Genomic DNA, 20104 nt, shown 5'->3' with positions numbered 1-20104 from the left:
ACTTGCCAGTCCCCACCACCCCATATTACCCTATGTAAGTGAGTGAACTTACCTAGTTTCCCTCATTTACATTATCTATCTGGCTGCAATAGGCTTCTAAGTTTGTTACCCCTACCATAAGGCTGAGAAACAATCATAGATCTGTTGGTGGTGGGAACTGGGGTTGCAAGCAATTTCTTCTTCTTGAAGACAAGGGGCAGAGAGACCCCAGCTAACATCTGGGTTGTGAAATTATGCTTTCTCTAGCTAGCAAAGGAGGCCAAAAATGATCAGTCATTAATGATTAAGTAAGGACTTTAAATGTAGTGTATCTTCTCATTCTCACAAAACACCTGATCAGTGAATATCACAATTACTTATATTTTACAAATAAACTAAGAATCAAAAAGGTTAACCTGGCCAAGATCCAGTCTTCTTTAGATGAGAAATGAGGTGTGAAACTGGGACTTCAAGGACTCCATTCTTTCTCTGTGTCTCAACCCTTTCCTAGACTGTGAGATCCACTGCATCTTCTTTTGTATTCTCCCACATTATCCCAGCTAATCACCCAATGAGTAGACAGTTGGTGACCTTTATTGAGGCAGCTGGTGGCAAATTGTACAGAATCCTTTGGCCATGATTGATTGAGTCTTTTTGGCTCTAAGTTAAGTGGCATGGGAGAGTTGGCAAATGCTGGTCCCCTCTCCAGGAGCTCTGTCCTTTTAGTCTTTGGCACATGCCTCCATGTCTATGTTTTCTATAACATGCCCCAGATGTGGAATAATGGTGCGGCAAAGCGGGAGTGTACAGCTTGGGATGAACTCGGGGAAGGGTGGCCAGGAGGACTGGCCTTTGAAAGTCACATGGATTTGAGAACAATGACTGGTGAACAATGGTTGGGCAAAATGAAAGAAAATTAAAAAGAGAGCAGAGAGAAAGGAAAAAAAAAAACTACTGGATTAAAAGCAGGGACAGCATAAAGAAAAAAGAGAAGCAGAAAAGAAGAAAGAGGAGGAGAAAGAAAGAGATGACTGTACAGGTGACTAAGGGAGAAAATTACCCCCTGCAAATAACACAAAAAATTCCACTAAAGAGACAAGAAACAGCTTGGAAGAGAGAGAGAGGACGAGCTATTCCTTTGCTCTCAGGTCCTCTCTTCCTACATCCTATATCTGCACATTGTGGCATCATGCAAATCCTTTTCTTACCTCATCTACCATACACAACCTCCAAAGGCATTACGTTTCCCCTTTCCAGCCTAGGCCTGGATAAATACCTCCTTAGCCCCTTTGGCATAAGCAACAAGCTTGAATTTTTTTAAAGGACTTTACTAAGAACCAAGGAAAAACAGAAGAAAATATACAAAAGTGTAGCAAATGGCTAAACATATCACTATAGCTTTCTAAGAATAAAATACCAAAATATGATGTGCAAGTTGCCTGATCCAACCCTAATTCTATCGTTCATTCATTCAGTCAATAATTACTGACTGCCTATTAAGTGCCAAGCACTGTTTCAGGTGCTGAATATCAATCAACCAGCAAGACAGGAACAGTTCCTGGACTGCCCAGACCCTTCTCTCCTGTTATCTTTCACCAAGCAACCTGCATGGCCAACCCTCTGCATCTTCTTCTACATGTATGTGTTTATACTCTTTCACTTGTGTATGACTGAAACCCGATTCAAACTATCTTAAGCAAAATTGGGAATTTATTGGCTCATATAATTAATATGTGGCTTCAGGCATGGCTAGATCCAGCCTTCCGGATTTTCTTCAGGAACATTCTCTTTCTCCCTCTGAGTTCTGGGTGCCTCTTCTTTAGCTTCATTTTCAGACAGATATTTTCCATATGGTGGCAAAATGGTTACAAGCAGCCCTAGGCCTACCACATGTCCTTACCGTGCCTGTAACTCAGAAAGCATCTTTACTAATAAAGCCAATAGAAGTCCATGGGAGACCTCTGATTGGTCTGGCTTAGGTCATACAATTATCCCTGAATAAATTATGGGATCAATTTCAGTCCCATATGTAACTTAAACATACAGTGGTGGTCACAAACATGAACCCACAAAAAAAAAAAAATTTGCAGTAGGTATCCTCACTCCTTTCTCTGATTAACTAAGGATCAGAAGTTTTTGAGCATCTTATTTGGAAATCAAAGGAGAGAGGGAGTATTCTTAAACAAGACTAGGTTTAAGGACCCACTTAATGAAGAACCAGCTCACTGATCCACCTCCAATACTTCCTCAAGGAATTTTTCAAGGTCTCAGCTGACACTGATGTGACTTCTTCATCTTTGCATCTCCTAGAGGGCCCAGCACAGCAATTTGCCTACAGCAGGCACTTTGAAATGCCAGCTAAATTGTCCTTGTAAATGCAGTAGAAGGAGAAAAAGATTAAGAAGAAGTAGGAAAAGGAAAAAACAAAAGGAAAGGAGGAATAAAGGGAGTACAACATGGTGTTTCAGAGCCCATATTCCAAAGTTTCTGATGTTCAAATCCCACACTACTATCTTGCTATCATGGACAAGCAGTAGACACTCTGAACCTCTGTTTTTTTATCCTACAATGAGTGTAACGATACTTTCCTTGCAGGAATCTTGTAAAAATTACATGCAAGGATGGTAGTGAAGCTCTTTAGCCCAGCTCCTGGTAGGTGACACTCATCTAATGATAATTTCTAACATACCTTTCTTTTATCCCCAGTGATACTGCTTGGGGTAGGGGGATAGAGAGGGGCCAAGTGAGGCCCTTCCCATAGGCCATGAACAGCATTCTGGAGAAGTTCAAAATGCGTTCCGAAAAAAAAAAAAAAAAAAAAAAAAGCCTACAACCAAAAAACTCAGACCATTTCTAGAACCCAATCCAAACCAAACCTTCTTGAAGGTCATACGTGTTCTGAGGTTTCATTCCACTATTTTTCACTTATACAGTCCTCAGCCCTGCCAGGGCTGAGCTAGAATTTGAGCTCACCATAGCCAAATACCACAAGGGGAAAAAAATGCCCAAGCCCTTTGCCCTGAATATATTTCCAGCCCAACAGAGAACTGAAAGCCCTGGAAAGCTCTAGGCAGCCAGTGACCCCAGCAGCCACCTTTTCAGAGTAGCTTCAGGGCATTGGTTTGTGGGCCTCAGGTGCTGACCACAGCCTTCAGCCTCCTCTGTTACCTCGATGGCCACATATGCAGAGAGGGCTCACAGCAGCCCTTGGGCTTTGCTGAGCCAACCACAGCTCTGATGAGAAAGGAAGGCTGCCAGAGTGGGATAAGTTGACTTGTTTTTCCAGAAAGTATCTTCCCTCCAGCAGGGCCAATGTGGAATATAGTCACAGAGCTGATACATGCGCACTTTCTTTACAGAAAAGAAAGTACTTCAGTTCTTATCCAGTACACTACATGCTCAGTAGTTTGCTTCTTGCCAAAGTAACAGTATGAAGGAGAAAACATCATGGGATCATTCAAGAAACTGAGTAAGACAACTTTTTACAAAGAGAGAAGGGAAAGAAGAGGGAGAGGGAGGCAGAGAAAAAGGGAAGGAAGGAGGGAGGGAAGTGGGGAGAGAGATAAAAACACTGACATCTTTTGGAGGTGAAATGGAATGCTGTGCGCTATCTTAGAACACCTTGTGCTTTCCAGTGATCCCCACGACTTTGCTGGAAATGAGGAAAGTAGTTGTAGGAAGAATGGGTTCTAAGAAACAGGCTTTCTGCACTTAAGAGTTTCCTCTTAAGGCGAAGATGAACTGAGAGACAGGAATCTCTAGTTAAGATGGCCAACAGACATTAATTACCTTGGGTAACAGGTAATGGGTAAGAGACATTGATTATCAACATTGATTAAGCCAATGTTTAAATTTCTGAAAAAAAAAAGTGTGCATGTGTGTGTGCATGAGAGAGAGAGAGAGAGTCTAAAGCCTTCCTTGTATATTACGCACTCTGACTTGGTGGTTTCAGTGCCTAGAGACAAAGAAATCTCAAATCTGAAACCCAGCTCTACCACTTACCAGTTGTGTGACTTTGGGAAAGCTATTTAAGCTCATCTTTTTTTTTTATTGGTAAATGAAGATAAACTACAGCCTATTGATGAGGATTAAATGTGATAACATTCGTAACACATGGTGCTGGTACATAGTAATCACTCAATAAATAACTATAATCATAACTATCATCAACACTATTATTCCCCAAAAGATCTATCACTCCAAAAGAAGTTACAAATCATTGGTCTCAGTCATTGCCAAGCTCCATGCCAATTCTAGAAGTCTGTCTATCTTTCTACTCCAAGTTACCAACCTGCTCTCAGCACAATGTTCTTCCCACTGAGAAAAGGGAGAAGACAAAAACTGCATGCCCCTCCCCTCTCTGATCTTCTCCTTTGCACCCTTTCCTCAACACCCATACACACATATGCACAGCCCTGATCAAGGCCAGTGATTTCAAGGAACATTTATTATATGTCTATGCTAAGCACTGGTATCAAACACACAAGAAAGGTCCCTATAATGACGTGAGATCAGCCAAGACCATGACAGCCCTGGTCGATGGAAGTGATTCTCAAATTTGAGTGAGCATCAGTCACTGGGAAGGCTTGTGAAAACACACACTGCTAGGCTATATCCCCCAGAGTTCCTGAGTGAGGCCTGAGAATTTGCACTTCAAACAAGATACTGATGCTCTGGGTTGGGAGCCGCACAGTGAGAACCAGTGGCCTGGGATTAGGAATGTTTCTCGAGGCAACTTCACAGCCACTGCTGGGAGGTGGTGTCATAGTAATAGAACCCAGAGCCACTATATGAACTGTGTACAACTGGGGTCAAAGTCATCTGAGATTCTATTCGAGATGCTGGATATCCCCCAGGATCTTGAGACACTGGGGAAGGAAGGATAAAAGTAACTGATGTCTCAGCATTTATCCTGAAAGTTCCTAGAGAGCAGGGACTGTCTTAAGCTTCCCAAGACACACATTTCCTCCTCCCTGCTTCTAGAATCAGGATTTTTTTCACAGTAGACTTTCAGTTAATATTCACTGATTGAATCAGAGGAGGGACCTACCTGCAAACTGGGCCGATAAAGCAAACTGCAATCACTCAATAAATATTTATGGAGCACCAACTTTTTACAAAGAATTCAAAGGGTTCCAACCTCAACTATTATTTATTATTACCAATACTATTATGCATGAGGATCTAGCACAGTGCTTAACACATAGTGAATTCTCCATGAATGTAATTTCCCTTCTACCCCCTGATTACCAAAGTGGTATTCCAACCTCCACCGTCTCACTCGTTTCCTAGCCCTCTTCTCCTTGGGCAAATGATTTTTGCTAGTGCTTCTTTGAGATAATTATGAAATTTTTTCAGTTTCCTACCCCACACACATGACTGCAAATATGCCCATTTCTCTAAACATTGTTATCTTCCTCTCTGCTATTTTCAAAGAATAAATGTCCTCTAAAGTTAATCCTTCCACTTGTCCTTTGTTTAGCTGCCCTTAGGCACTTAGGTCCATTAATAGTGCTCCTCTTCTTTTTAAATCTTGAGCCTCCCTCTCTCCTCTGATTCTCTCACCTCATAAAAAAACAAAACAAAACACCACACATTCTTTAAAAAAAAAAAAAGAAAGAAAGAAAAAAAGCAAATACATCAACAAATGTCCCCTCTCTCTCCTCCATCTCCATGCAGCTCCTGCTCTCCCTCTCTCCCTCCCTTCCCAGGCAAATTCTTGGAAATCTAGGCCACCCCTTGCTGATTTTACTTCCTCCTTTCCTCACCCACAGCAGTCTGGCTGCCAGCCACCCTTCCAATGACTCTGTTCTTGTCAAGGTCACGCTGACCTCTGTATTTACAGATCCAGTGGTAGCTCCACACGCCTTACCTTACTTGACCTTCCTAATCCATTTGGCACTGGGGCCCACTGCTTCCTTGAAACTCCCTGTTCCATTGAATCTATCCTTCTTTCCAACTGTCTCCCACACACCACTCCTCAGATGTCCGATGAGCACTTCAAACTCTGTCAAAATGAACTTTGTCTTTCCATGCAAACCAAACTATCCTCTTCCATTTCTTATTCATGATGATGGGTACTGATATTCACCAGCTCACCTAAACCAGAAACTTTGAAGTCATCCTCAATTTGTCTTTCTCTACCCTCCATATATAATTGTTCACTGAATTCTATTATCTATATTCCTTTAACAGCTTTGGGATTCAACTGCATCTCTTCTTTCTACTACTGCTGCCTGTTTTCAGGATATCACCACACCCATCTGAATTATTTCAGTGGTCTCCTAAGTGGAAGGAACATCTTCAGCCTCTTCTTACACCAAACAATCTGCCGTAAAGTAAGTGGATGACAGTATGGCATAGTAGTTAAGGGGACAGACTGCCTTGGTTCAAATTTAGGCACAAGTCTTTATCAATCAAGTGATATTAAGCAAGTGACTTGTCTTCTCTGTGCCTAAGTTTCCTGGGCTGTAAAATGGGGATGATAATAGTAATCTTCCCCATAGGGTTTTTATAATATCAAATGGCTTTACAGTATGCACAACAGTGCCTAGTAAATAGTAAATTTTCATTAAGTATTGTTTATTATTATTATTATTATTATTTACTGCTGCCAGAGTAAACATTAAAAAATAAATTTAATAAATCACTCCCTCATTTTAAAATAAATCAAGTCTACAACACAACAGACAAGGTTCTCCTTGTTATGTTCCCAGCCTGCTCCTTCAATTCAATCTCACACTCCACTCACACTCCACTGAAATTCACACTCCAGTCATATAGTGCAAATCATGCACTTGTAAATTCCTGAAACTCCACACACAATTTCTCTGTGCCTGGTATACTATTACCCTTCTTGTATGCCACATAAACTCATATTCATCCTTCAAATCCCTTCAATCATCTGTGAAGTCTGATAATTTTCTACGAACCCCAAATAGAAAAAAAAATCACTATTTTCTATTAACTTACGTAATACTTCGCACATACATGTTATATATACATATGTGTGTATATACACAGACACATACTTCACGCTGTATTGCAGCATGCAGATACTTGCACATCTGTCTCTTCTAGAATGTAAGTTCTTAGAAACAGAAACTATCTGACTTAGCTCAGGGTAGAGAGAACTTGCCTCATAATGGGCTCTTATGACATTAATATTTTATATTCTTATGTGCCTCATAATTTCCAAAAAATATTCATAGCAGAGAGTCTCCAAAGATGGCCATCACCAAGACCTTCTCCCACTGTATGTATATGGTGCTCCATCTAGCAAGAAATAGGAGACTGTTTCTTTCCCCCTTGAATTCAGACTGGCCTTGTGTCTGCTTTGACCAAAAGAATGTGGTGGAAGTCACATGTTGGAACCCTTGGAGAACTGGCCACTTCTGTTTTCTCCCTTTAAAAAATCAGCCACCATGTAAGAAGTCCAACCACATTGGGACCCAGGTTACAAGAAAGTAAGAGCCTTAACAACCAGGGGCCTGTGGACAACCAGAGGAGGCCATCTCTCCCTCTTCTTCCTCATCACCACCACTCAGGAGAAAAAGCCCAGTCATGTTTCAGAGCCAGTCTGCCCCCATTTTTGGGTAGGGTGAGCAATTGTCACCCTATTTGCCAGGGATGTACCTGGAATATTTGCAATTTTAGCACTGCAAGCCCCACATCCCTGGAACCCCTCAGTCCTGGGCAATCTGGGACAGTTGCCCACCCTCCTTTCAGGATACCTGCCACTGTCGCTATCCTGTCCTGGATCTCTGGAGTGAGCCATTCAACTGTTACCCCGAGAGTTCTCTGGGTTGGAAAAGGAAATTTCTTTCTTCCAGGGCCAATTTCCTCATAAGCCAAAGAATCACTCTCAATTCTATTTCCCATCTCTAACCAGACCCAGTCACATGATCCAGTAGAGCTTGCCAGAGGTTATAACAATGAAACCAACTAATACAATGAAGACTGTCCCAAAATTATAGAATATAAATTCCCTCTAATTATCAATGCCCAATGATATGAAAGCCCAAATGTTAAACCTCAAAGTCCCCTTATAAAGCTCAAAGTACAAAAATCTAGATACATAAAATAAAAAACTCTTTTCTCTTCAATTTCTTTATCTGCTCAATCTCAGACAGACGATACATGGGTTCTTTCAGCAAATTCTATCCTATCTTCCTCAGGAACTGATAAAGTTCCCCTATCTCCTAAAGTACAAGGCTTCAGCTCTGCCAACACCCTCCCCATATCAACCCACCACAAGCAAATCTGCGCACTCTAGCTATTACTACACAGTTCAGTGACCTCCTCAGAACACATCCAGTAGATAATTCAGACATATAGTGCTGTTGTCAACCACAGACCACCATGGGGACATGATGTTATCTGGGAGAAGAAGGTTGAGAGAAAAACATCAATGGATCAAGATAGGAACTTGAAAGGTAGTTCTTTTCACCCAAGCCAGTGAGAGATGGAAGGCATTGTCTCAGAGGGTCTTGTCTTAGCTTCTAAGTATCCAATTCCCATATCCAGGTAAGACGACTACTCATTTTCTGTCCTTGGAGGTCCATAACGTTTTTCCTTATATTTCAACTAGTTTCTGTGAGTTTCTGTTCTCTGCAGCCATGGAACCTTGACTGAAACATTATTCTTAAGAAATTACTTATTAGGGATGGTACTTTTCTGTATACCAAAGATCCCATTCATTTGGTCCCCTGAAATGTCATCTTCCACAGATTGAAGAAGCTATCAATAAAGTGCATGTTCAATACAGTAGGAAAATGAGTTCTGGGAATGTAACTGGGAAGATAAGAAGCATGAACAGAATTTTTAAAATTTTAATGACTAAATTGCATTTTTACTCATTTATCAACTTTTTAAAATATTAACACTGTAGGATCTATAACAGCATTTCTATTTTAGGGGGAAGCTTCCACAGACATGTATCATAGTGTGATTTAAGATTTATAAAATTTCAGAATGCTCAGAAATATCTCTGCCCAAAATTACAGCCCTTATTATGGTTCCCAAACTGCAAACATGTGAAATAGATGAATACAAAACAGATGGATCAAAGGACATTATATGTCTTTTTAAAAAAAAACATAAAACCCTAGAGGTTTCAAGAATAGCAATGGAGAGAGAATCTTCATATTGGAGTGGGGGTAGGGATATTGAATCTTACAACCATGGTGCTTGTTCCAAAAATTCACGTTCACCATCCTGTGAACATCTCTCACTAAGAACAATTACCACTGCTATGGTAGCCTAGGGAAGAGCAGAGGGCACTCCTCCGTCTCCCCCCACCACTTTCACTTTCTGGTCCAAGTATGGACACATGAACCTTCCCTAAATAGTCTGCACTACAGCTTCAGACCAAGCTGGAATGTTTAAACAAGACCTTTCTAAAGGCTCAGTAATAACAAAAGGAAATAAAGAGCTGATGTAAGTGGGAATCCTCCCTATCCCTGTGTTCTAGAAAAAAAATTCATTTAAACCACCTGCTTTGCCCCCTCCATCACCAATTACTATTACCACGGCCCCCTACGGAAGTCCAGAAATTTGTCAGGATCCTGCAGCCTTGGGTTCCTCCTGCCTGGTATCCTGTTCACAGATGCAGTCTTTGCTTCTGCATTGACTCTAACAGTACACAAGAAATCAGCGTCTATTCACACTTCCAAAAAAGGCTCATACACACACACACATACACAATACAGTACGGCACAATCTAGACTCTACTAAAAATTTAATATGGGAATCCAGAGGAAGTGAGGACTTATATCATATATATCAAACGAATGAAAAATCTCTTCTTGAACATCTGTTATCCCAAAATCCCCTTCTCATTTTGGGCCACAGGGCATCTCTTCCTTTTGCCCCTCTCCAAGAAATGCCAATGTTCTGGCTCCCCAGCTCTCTCTCATCTCTCTGTCCTTCCAGTCCTCTCACCCCCTTATCCCTTCTGGATCCATACAAGCTCCTTTCCTTGCCTCACACATAGCAGTTTAGCAATCATCTTCTGCTACTTAAATGTGCCCTTGGGATCTCAGCCTCCTCCACTGGAAATTTGCCAGAGAATTTCTTCCATCTAGGTACAGTGTATTTCTATGAATAATTCTACTGAATAATACCTTTTCTGTTTTTGCATAGAAATAAACCCAGAAAATAATATAACATTAGAGAACCTACTTTACAAATATTACCTACCTTCCATGGTCACAGACCTCAACCTATCCAAGTTTCAGGCCTGCCCGCAAATGCTGGGCATCATATTGAAACCAGAACTATCCAGAGACACAGGTTCCTCCATGTCTAGACTCAAGGGACTAAAACTAGGACAAAGAAGCTTAAGACCTATTTTTTACTATCTGAGAACCTATCTGTTAGTCATCTGGTTGACTCAGGAAATGGCTTCTCCTTTCTGAGAAAACCATACCTTCCCATATGGGCATGACCTTGCTCAGGAGGCTATATATGGTTACATAGCAGAAGCAGCATCGGGCCAGCTTCATGGGTGTGCAACCTGTGCAGTCACACAAGGTCCCAGGCCCAGAAGGGCCTCATAATTGGTTTGATGCTCTGCAGTCAATGTCTTAAAATTTCCAATCATCATTGAGCAAGGGGCCCTGCCCCACATTTCCATTTTGCACTGGCACCCACAAATTACGTAGCTGTATGTGAATGTACCTTGTATTTACATAACAGGAACACATGCAGAGAACAGGGAGTGGGTCTGTTCATCATAATGGCCTTAGAAACAGCTGTAGAAATGATCTTAGTAGTCATTACATACAAATTTTCTTCAACAGATGAGAAAATGGAATTCCAGAGATGTGAAGTGAATGCCAGTCTCACAGCTCATTGGTGGGAGAGCCATTGCTTTGTCCAACTCCAGGGGGCACCAGCCTCATTGTCTTGCAGCTTCCCAGGTTACCATCCACCTTATTTTCTATGTGAATGGTGGCTCAGAGGTACCCACACGATGGCTCAGCACTAGGGTCACCAAATAAGCACCCTGTCGCCCAGCACCAGCCAACCTCCAGGGTACATTCTCCCTGCCCAGGCCTTTCTTTTCTTTCCTCAGTCCACTAGAATCATGCACTTGGGGACAGAAAAGGCCAGATTGTCAAAAGAAGTAACCAGAACAGGTGCTTGGAGAATTAGAGGTTTCTAAATGGTGAAAGAAACCAGAAATTCATAAAGAAAAGGAGACTCAGAAAACATTTTTTGTTATAAGTTAAATTTCGTAATGCTGGCAGGAAGATGAAAACACTAGAAAGGCAAGGCTGGAGTGGGTGGCTGACAGCTGTAGGCAGCTGGAGTGCAGAGGAAGAATAGGAAGACCATTAGTGCACAGCAGTGGGAAAAGGACCTGGAAATAATGAACGGAAAACCCTACTGAGGAGCGAGGTGACACAATTAGAGACACATAATAGGCCAGTAACACAGTTACTTAGTGCCTTTATTCTCCGCTAAAGAAGTTTTAATTTGCTACTAAGAATTTTTATGTGCTAACATATGCTGCCTAGGGGAAGGAACACGTTGTTCAGATCTCAAGGTCATTGGAGCTGGGTTTCGAGGCTTCTCCAAATAGGGCATATCTGAGTCCACTTCTGGCAGGAGGTATGATGGAGGCAAGACCTGCCTCAGAGAACAATCCTGCTGCATTCATTCATGTATAGACATTGTTCAGCCCCTGTGAATGCATGGTGGTGTTTAGGAATTCTCTTTCTATTGGAAGATCAAAAAGAATAACAAAAACCTTACAAACTACAACCCATATTAAAGTTCAGCCCCAGGGGGTAATATCAGATGGGAAATATGAATTTAGTGAAAAAGCATCTGAACATTTGGAGTAAATTTGAAAACAGAACCATCTGGTATATAATCGGATCCATCCAGTAGACTCCACACTTTGTACCACCAGCTGCTGTCAAACATGAGATTATGAAACCTTGAAATAAATGCTCCCCTAAGCCTGATTTCTTGTTTCAGGGTTAACTTGAGGCAGAGCTGCAGACTGCCGAGATGAAACGCTGGGATCTTCTTATAGAAGCTTTTCTTCTAGGCATACTTCTTCCTTTCAATTCAGTTATGCATGGTGGATATAGAGGGGACTCCAAACCCAAGAGATGAGATTGGAAGAGGGGCCTATGAAGACAAGTCTTTTTTTTTTTTTTTTTTTTTTTGAGACGGAGTCTTGCTCTGTCACCCAGGCTGGAGTGCAGTGGCGTGATCTCAGCTCACTGCAAGCTCTGCCTCCCAGGTTCACGCCATTCTCCTGCCTCAGCCTCCCAAGTAGCTGGTACTACAGGTGCCCGCCACCACGCCCGGCTAATTTTTTGTATTTTTGGTAGAGACGGGGTTTCACTGTGTTAGCCAGGATGGTCTCGATCTCCTGACCTTGTGATCCGCCCACCTCGGCCTCCCAAAGTGCTGGGATTACAGGCATAAGCCACCTTCTTTAGTGTAAATCCTGGCTTCTCTCCCATCTCCATAAGTGGCTCTTCACCCTCCTTCCATTCATGATTCCTCCATGGCCCAGCATAGCTGGATAACCTCAGAAAAGGCATGGTAAGAGAAGTAACAGCCTGTATTTAAATGGATGTAAGAATCAATGTTCTAGGGCTTTCTTTAAACTTCTGGTTTTAATAGGAAGAGGAATTATTAGAGCATTAAGTAGTCTCGATGAAAAGACAAGTGGGAAAGAAACAAGAACATTCTTCCTACTTCTACTCCTTAACTTTTCTTATTTCTTTTGTCCATCTCTAGCTCGTAATGTTTTAAAAACTGTTGGTCTGAGCAGATCTTGCTTCCTTTCATGACAGAACTATCGTGAGTGTGGACAAATACAAGGTCCCCGTTGATTTCAGTCTCATAAGAGAGCACTAACCTATGAGAATCTGGAGTGCACAGTTGATCCAAGAGTTTCCTTTTATGTCGTCAAAATCCAGGAGCCATTCTCAGCCCCTCACTCATTACCTACATCTAATCCATCAGCAAGTCCTTTTGGCTCTATCCCCAGACATATTTCAAACTTCTCTCCACCCTTATCCCCTTTGTCCCAGCTGACCATCTCATAAGTGGTCCTGCCCTGCTCACTGTTGCCCCATCTCTGTCCTGTCTTCACCCAGTAGCAGAAGGGAGTTTTGAGAACCTTCACTCAAATGACGTTGTCCTGCTTCAAACCCTCCAATGGCTTTCCTATTGCACCTAGAATAAATCAAACTCTACCACATCCTAAATGATCTGGCCCCTGCCACCTTCAGACTCATTTATTATCACTGCTCCTCTCACTTACAGCACTACAGAGACACTGGCCTTCTTGTTTCTTGAATAGGGCACATTTGTTCCTAGCTAAGGGTCTTGGCACGAGTCATCTCTATGCCCAGAATGTTTTCTTCCTGAGCATAGCTTTTCTTCGTAGCTTCCAGCTTCTTGCTCTGACCACCCATGTAAAGTAGCTGCTGCTCTTTTCTCATCATCCTATTTCCTTCATAGTACTTAACACAATCTGAAATTAGATACCTTATGTATTTGATTATTTGTTCATTTCTTGCCTCGCTTCTCTCACTAAAATGCAACCTCATTAATTGGGGGTGTTTCTGAATTACTCATTTCTGTGTCCCCACCAATGGTTAAAAAATACTTGTGAAATGAATGGATTCCTGGCTGGGGATGCCACAAAGAGATTTAATAGATTAAGGACACTTTATGTATTTACTACATTAAAGACATTTAATACATCCTATCTCTTTTCAAGGCTTAAAAGTTCAATGATGTTTTAAGAAATTAGAAGAAATAAGACCTGATGTTTCATAAGTCAGTAGGGTGACTATAGTTTATGATAATCTATTGTATATTTCAAAATAGCTGGAAGAGAATAATTTTAATGTTTGTAGCATAAAGAAAAGATAAATATTTAAGGTGATGGATCGCCCAATTACACTGATTTGATCTTTACAAATTATATGAACATATTAAATTATCATATGTACCCTGAAAATATGTATATCTATTATATATCAATAAAAAATAACTTTTTTTTGAAAGTTCACTGATTTCAGAGCATTATTTGAAAATATGGGTCAATATATCGCTTTTGTTTGATAACTATAGACATGTTTATCAATGAAAATGATTTGCCTAGATGTCATACACTCCCAGTACAGCTCATTTTTCCACTGGCATGTAGTTATCAGCACAGTAACCACTCCCGTGCTTGCTTGTGAAGTATCCAATCATTTACAAAGTGCATCCACCCAGTGACATCCTGAACTCCTTTCACAGCAGCCCCCTGTGGTCATCAGGAGAAGAATGACTTTTATTTCACCAGTGGGGAAACTGAGGCTCCGTGTCATTAGCTGACTTCCCACAAGGGTTCAGAAACAGGAAGTGCACTTGAGCTCAAGCCTCTGGCTTCCCACTCTGCCGGGCTGCCTCTCATTATCTCATTTGTTGCTCACAGTATCCCTGGGAGGTCAGAAGGGCAGGATCGTAATCCCTGTGACATTCCAGCGAAGTCTTCACATTACTCATATGCATGCCAACCCTGGCTAGGAAACCCCCATGTGCACAGATCAAACTGAAAAACAGGATGACACGGGTTCTCTTAATGCCACACAAGTGGCAGGGCAGGCTCTATCAAGTTGCTGCTCTGTACGCAGCACAAAAGATGAAATGATGCTGTCTCTAGCCCCACCTACCCCAGCACCCAAATCACAGCCTTCAGGGTCTCTCGGATTCCTCTCTCTCCTTTACCATCACCCACCTACCTCTATATTGAGTCAACAAATACTGTCAGTTCTCCCTGCCGCTTATCATCATCTCCTCTCTTGGGCCACTCTTCATAACTTAGCTGTGAATCAGACTGTCTGAGATCAAATCCCTGCTCTACCACTTCCTAAGTGGAGTGTGACCTTGGCAAATTATTTTACTTCTCTACAGCACAATTTTCTAATCTGTAAATAAGTAGTAAATAGAACTGACCTTGTAGGAGTGTTGTGAGGACTGAATTATCAATGTATATAATACATTCAGAACAGAGGATGCACCATGGAGCTGTGAGCTATAATTATTATCATTAGTGTTTCTAGGTTCTTGTTAACTTTCCTCTGAATTATTGTTTTAGCCTCCTAACTAGACCCCCTAACTTCTATCCTGACTTCCCCCTCCAATCCATTCTCCATCCCCAGCCAGAGCTGTGTTTCTAATATGCAAACCTGACTGTGGCATATTCCCTGCTTAAAAGCCTTTATTGATTCCCATCTCACAAAAGGTACAGATTTGATCCGTTAGCAGGTCACACAGGCTGTGCCATCCTCACACATGTCCCCTCCCCACCACATTCTACCCTCTAGCCATATTGACCTACAACTCTCCCTCCATAAACATGATAAATCCTTGCACACATCCCTAACTTGCTATATTCTGCCCCTGCTGCTGCTGCTGCTGAAAATTGAGTTCCCTCTGCTTTTACTTGGAAAACCTCTACCCAAATTTTAAGCCTCAATTTAGATGTCACTATCTCTGTGGAGTCCTCAGTCACTTGCTGGCAGAAAGTAGTCTCCACCCCCAGACAAAGCTCCATAGACACCTGGCATTGCCTTCATTAATAGAATTGTTGAACCTTCTTCTCCACCTTAGTACTTAGTACCACACAAGGCACATAGTAGTTGCTCAAGGACTCAGTGCTAGACTATTTTTATGTTTTTTCTTGCCTCTACCATGTGTCATGCCCTAAAGACCAACTGAGAAATCACAATCAACATTAACATTGGGATTTTCCAAACGCTGGACATACCTGTTGACTTTGGTGCACCAGCTCTGATTGCAGGGAGCAGAGGTGTTTAGAAAGCTGCAGAAGAGATGACTCCCGGAATCTGCACCTGACCTCTTAATTCATCCCCCAGCATGGTGCCTTTGCAGCGAATGTCCTCACAGTCCACAGGAGCCAGAAACCCAGGCAGCATTTTTTATTCTTGCTTCATCTGAACCATAAGCAAGTCCTGTCCTTTTTGCCTCCCAAATATATCCAAATGCATCTGATTCTCTTCTTCTCTGCAAGCCACTATTCTAGTCCAGGCCACCACCTCTCACCTAGACAAATGCCACCCTTAGACAGTCTTCTCCTTCAATGATCACCCCTCTATGGGCCACTTGTAACAGACTTTCTTAACATATAAAGTGGGCCATGTCACCCCTTGGCTTAGAATCCTCAGTGGCTTTTCACTGAAGTTTGAATGAAATTCAGTCGTTTCCTGAACACTGTGACCTGGCCCACAAGGCCCACAAGGTCGTGATCTGGCCCCTCTATCCTTCTCCCACCTCACTTTATACCTCCTCAGGTTTACTCATTTGGTTACAGCCTTACTGGCATTCCGCCAGGTTGTAAAACACATCAAACCCTTTTATACCCCAGACCCTAGGCACCTGCTGTTCCTACCATGTTAAACCCTCTTCTTTTTGTTTTTCATCCTCTTGTCTCAAATCAGAGCAGCCTTCTGTGTCTACTTTAACTGAGATAGATCACCCACATCAGTGATTTTCTGTCTTGCCTCCCAAGTTATTTCCTTAACAGGACCACATTTTTTTTTTTTTTGAGACAGGGTCTCCATGGACTCTGTTGTCCAGGCTGTGGTCTGTTCAACCACAGCTCACTGCAGTTTCGACCTCCCAAACTCCCAAACTCAAGCGATCCTCCCACCTCAGCCTCCTGAGTAGCTGGAACTACAGGAGCACGCCACTATGCCCAGCTTTAAAAAAAAAATTTAAGATGGAGTCTCACTATGTTGCCCAGGCTGGTCTTGAACTCTTGGGCTCAGGCGATCCTTCCACCTCAGCTTTCTAAAGTGCTGGAATTATAGGTGTGAGCCACTGCACCCAGACTACCTTTTCTAATTATTGTATATATTTGTTTCTTTGCTTATTTTTCTTGCTCTTTTCTCCCTCTACATAATGAAAATTTCATGCAGCCAGTGATCATGTCTGTCTTATCACAGCAGTAGAACTTAAAAGCAATGCCCAGAACATAATAGATGTTCAATATATATTTGTCAAATAACTGTTGAATCTGTGTGATTTTGGACTAAGAAATGTTCTTTACTTAGTTCTGGGGAGACGGATTCAAATGCCAACATGAGAATTGCTATAAACATTTGAGGAGTCTAAGTGTGTAGACCTGACCTATAGGAAGGACCACTTATGCCTACAGCTAACACTTTCTAACTCTATGAATTTTATTTCTTTTGTAATTTTGACACAGCTTCTATTTTTAGAAAAACAAATAACAGAGAATAGGTTTCAAAAGTGCATTCGACCCAGCAATTCTATTACTGGGTATATACACAAAGGAAAATAAATCATTCTACCAAAAAGACACATGCACTTGTATGTTAATCACAGCACTATTCACAAAAGCAAAAACATGGGATCAATGTAGGTGCTCATCAATGGTGGATTGGATAAAGAAAATGTGGTACATATACACCATGGAATACTATGCAACCATTAAAAAGCACAAAATCATATCCATTGCAGCAACATGGATTGCAGCTGGAGTGAATTATCCTAAGTGAATTAACAGAAGAACAGAAAACCAAATACCAGGCATTCTCACTTATAAATGGGAGCTAAACATTGAGTATACATGGACGTAAAGATGAGAACAATGGACGCTGAGGTTACTAGAGGGGGAGAAGAGCATGGATTCAAAAGCTACCTGTTGGGTACTATGCTTACTATCTGGGTGATGGGATCCTCTGTACCCCAAACCTCAGCCTCACACAATATACCCATGTAACCAACCTGCACATGTCCTCTCCGAATCCAAAAGTTGAAAAAAAGTAGCTTTGAAAAATGTATTACTGCGTGATGTTATACACATACATATCTCTGTGTGTGTGTGTGTGTGTGTGTGTGTGTGTGCATGAAAAGTAAAGATTTCCAGAGGAAACAAAGAGAGAAGAGGTGGTTATAGACATATAAATGGACTTGAATAATTGATATGTTACCCATGAGTTTTGTGAAAGAAAAAGGGAACTTTGTTCTATTTCTCTAGGTTTTAAAGAGAAGGGAAATAAAGCCTCATAAAATTTATTGCATTGCTCAAAGATGATGCTGTGGCTCTGTGTGTGTGTGTGTGTGTGTGTGTGTGTGTGTGTGTGTGTGTGTGTGATGGAAGAGTCAGGAAATGGCAGATTGATGACCCAAGCAAAACCCAATCACACAGTGGAGAAGCTCTGTGGACTGACTCATACACTTTGCAGATTTCCTATAAATTTGTAACTACAGAAAAGAGCCAAATAGATTGGATTGCTTTCTTTGTTCTTTCCTTCCTTCCTTCCTTACACCCACAAATCTTGGTAGAGTTTCTGTTGTATAACAGGTAATAGGCACTATTAAACCAAAAGTGATAAAGACATAGTCTCCTGCATTCAGGAAACCCACATGCCTGTAGAAAAGACCGACGTGTAAACAAGGACTAAGCCAGAAACATCCCAGCTACGAAAGCAGGTATGAATTACAGTAGCAGCCATATGAATTTTACTTAGGTGTGGCTAGCACACAGGGTTATGGTAAGGAAAGCTTCTTAGTGATGGTAAGAACGGCACTGGGCTTTGAAGGTTACATGGAAGTTTGGTGCTTGGTGCATCGTCAGTTAAGTACTGATATGCCAGGCAAAGGCAAGAGCCTGGGAAAAGATCCTACACTGTCATCCTGGGTCCTTCAGCTCTATTACATTTGTTCACCTTGTCATAAAGGGCAGCCCTGCCTAGGCCTAGTGCTGGGAGGGAGCCAAATGCCCTTGGAGAATTGAAATCTGCTAAGGAAACACAAAACAGAAATGGCTTTACACTGGAGAGAAAGTAATCAAGGAAAATAAATAAATAAAAGGGATCAGAGTAGCAGAGACTTTTTAAAGGGGCCCCCAAGCCCTTTGTTTTCCAGATGAGAAAGGGATTACCTAAAAGCAGGCATTAGAACCAGTTCAAGGCGCCCTCCCTTCATCACGCTGCCCTCACCTCCCGCATCCTACCTGTGGGTGCTGCAGAATCAACCCACATCTCAGGAGGAGGAAAGTGCACTGGCGGCACCACCAGGGAGTTCAAGTTCAGACTCGGCCACTTCCTTGCTGGTGACTTTGACTTCTCTGAATCCCAGTTTCCTCACTGGGGAAGCGAAAGTGAGGATATTACCTACTTTGCAAGACAGTGTGAACAGAACAGAGAGCACGCAAAGCTGCGCTTAACAAGTCTCATCACACAGCCCGCTTTTGTAGTGGCGAGGCAGCACCTGGAGGGAAGGCCTGCGCCTCCACAGGTGGCTGATGACGGGGCTCTCCAGCCTCAAACGCTGGAAGGCTTAGTGCCTGGAGTGCCCTCCAAGGGGTGCTTGCTCCTCTGCCTGCCCTTGCCGGGCCCCTCACCCGACGCCGCGCTTCACCCTGACACACACAGACTTTCCATGGCTGGTGGTCATGCTGCCCTGCCCTGGGAGCACATCTGCCCAGGATCACAGAGATGTCAGGGGGAAGCCGCTCTGACTTGATCTCAGGCACAACCTGACACTGGAGTTTTCTTTCACCAGTCAGCAGAGGAAACATGTGGGATGAATTAACTAAGCCAACCAGGGAAAGCAACGAAAGCAACGGCAGTTGGACTTCAATCGGTTCCCAGACAATGGAGCGTGGGGTGAGCCCACCTCTATCCAGCAGGGCAAGGGGCCTCCCAGGTACATTCAAGGACCCCCCACCCCATCCCCTAGAGAGTTGTCCCACCCTCAGGCCTAGGATGTGGGATTTGAACCCAGGCAGTCTGATTCACAGCTAAGGATTTGATCTCTCTCTATATATTTTTTTAGGAGACAGAGATAATAGTGACTTGACAGAGACAACGGGGGGAGCTTGAGGAAGAGCAGCCTCAGACCTTAGCTTCATGTTTGCAGGTCAAGAATACTGGGGAGGAAAGTCAGAAGGAAAAAAAGAAGCCCTACATTTTATACTTATAGTCCAGGTGAAGGTTAGGCTGGGGAGAGAGTTCACAGTCAAGGAAAAGAAGAACTGGAGCTGTAAGGGCCTGACTACCCTGAGAAGCATTTCTTTCCCATCTACAGGTAAGTCTGTCCTCACAAG

General features: G+C 42.4%; 1 long non-coding RNA gene across 1 annotated transcript in view, besides 1 other annotated feature; it reads right to left on the bottom strand.

The window, feature by feature from the left end:
• The window catches only part of LINC02456 (long intergenic non-protein coding RNA 2456), a 432422-nt gene that overhangs the window by 157450 nt on the left and 254868 nt on the right, over nt 1-20104 (bottom strand). The gene's annotated exons all lie outside the window — the stretch shown is intronic.
• Nucleotides 13891-15090: an enhancer, noted in NCBI's record as "P300/CBP strongly-dependent group 1 enhancer chr12:102933234-102934433 (GRCh37/hg19 assembly coordinates)". NCBI's record gives its function as "activates an origin of replication core promoter dependent on BRD2, BRD4, P300/CBP, MED14 and CDK7 cofactors, with strong dependence on P300/CBP, by STARR-seq in HCT116 cells {active_cell/tissue: HCT116}" and the evidence as "EXISTENCE:reporter gene assay evidence [ECO:0000049][PMID:35650434]".

Source organism: Homo sapiens, chromosome 12 (genome assembly GCF_000001405.40).
Source record: "Homo sapiens chromosome 12, GRCh38.p14 Primary Assembly".
Lineage (NCBI taxonomy): Eukaryota > Metazoa > Chordata > Mammalia > Primates > Hominidae > Homo > Homo sapiens.
The sequence above is the reverse complement of the archived record's forward strand: the minus strand, read 5'-3'. Positions and strand labels throughout refer to the sequence as shown.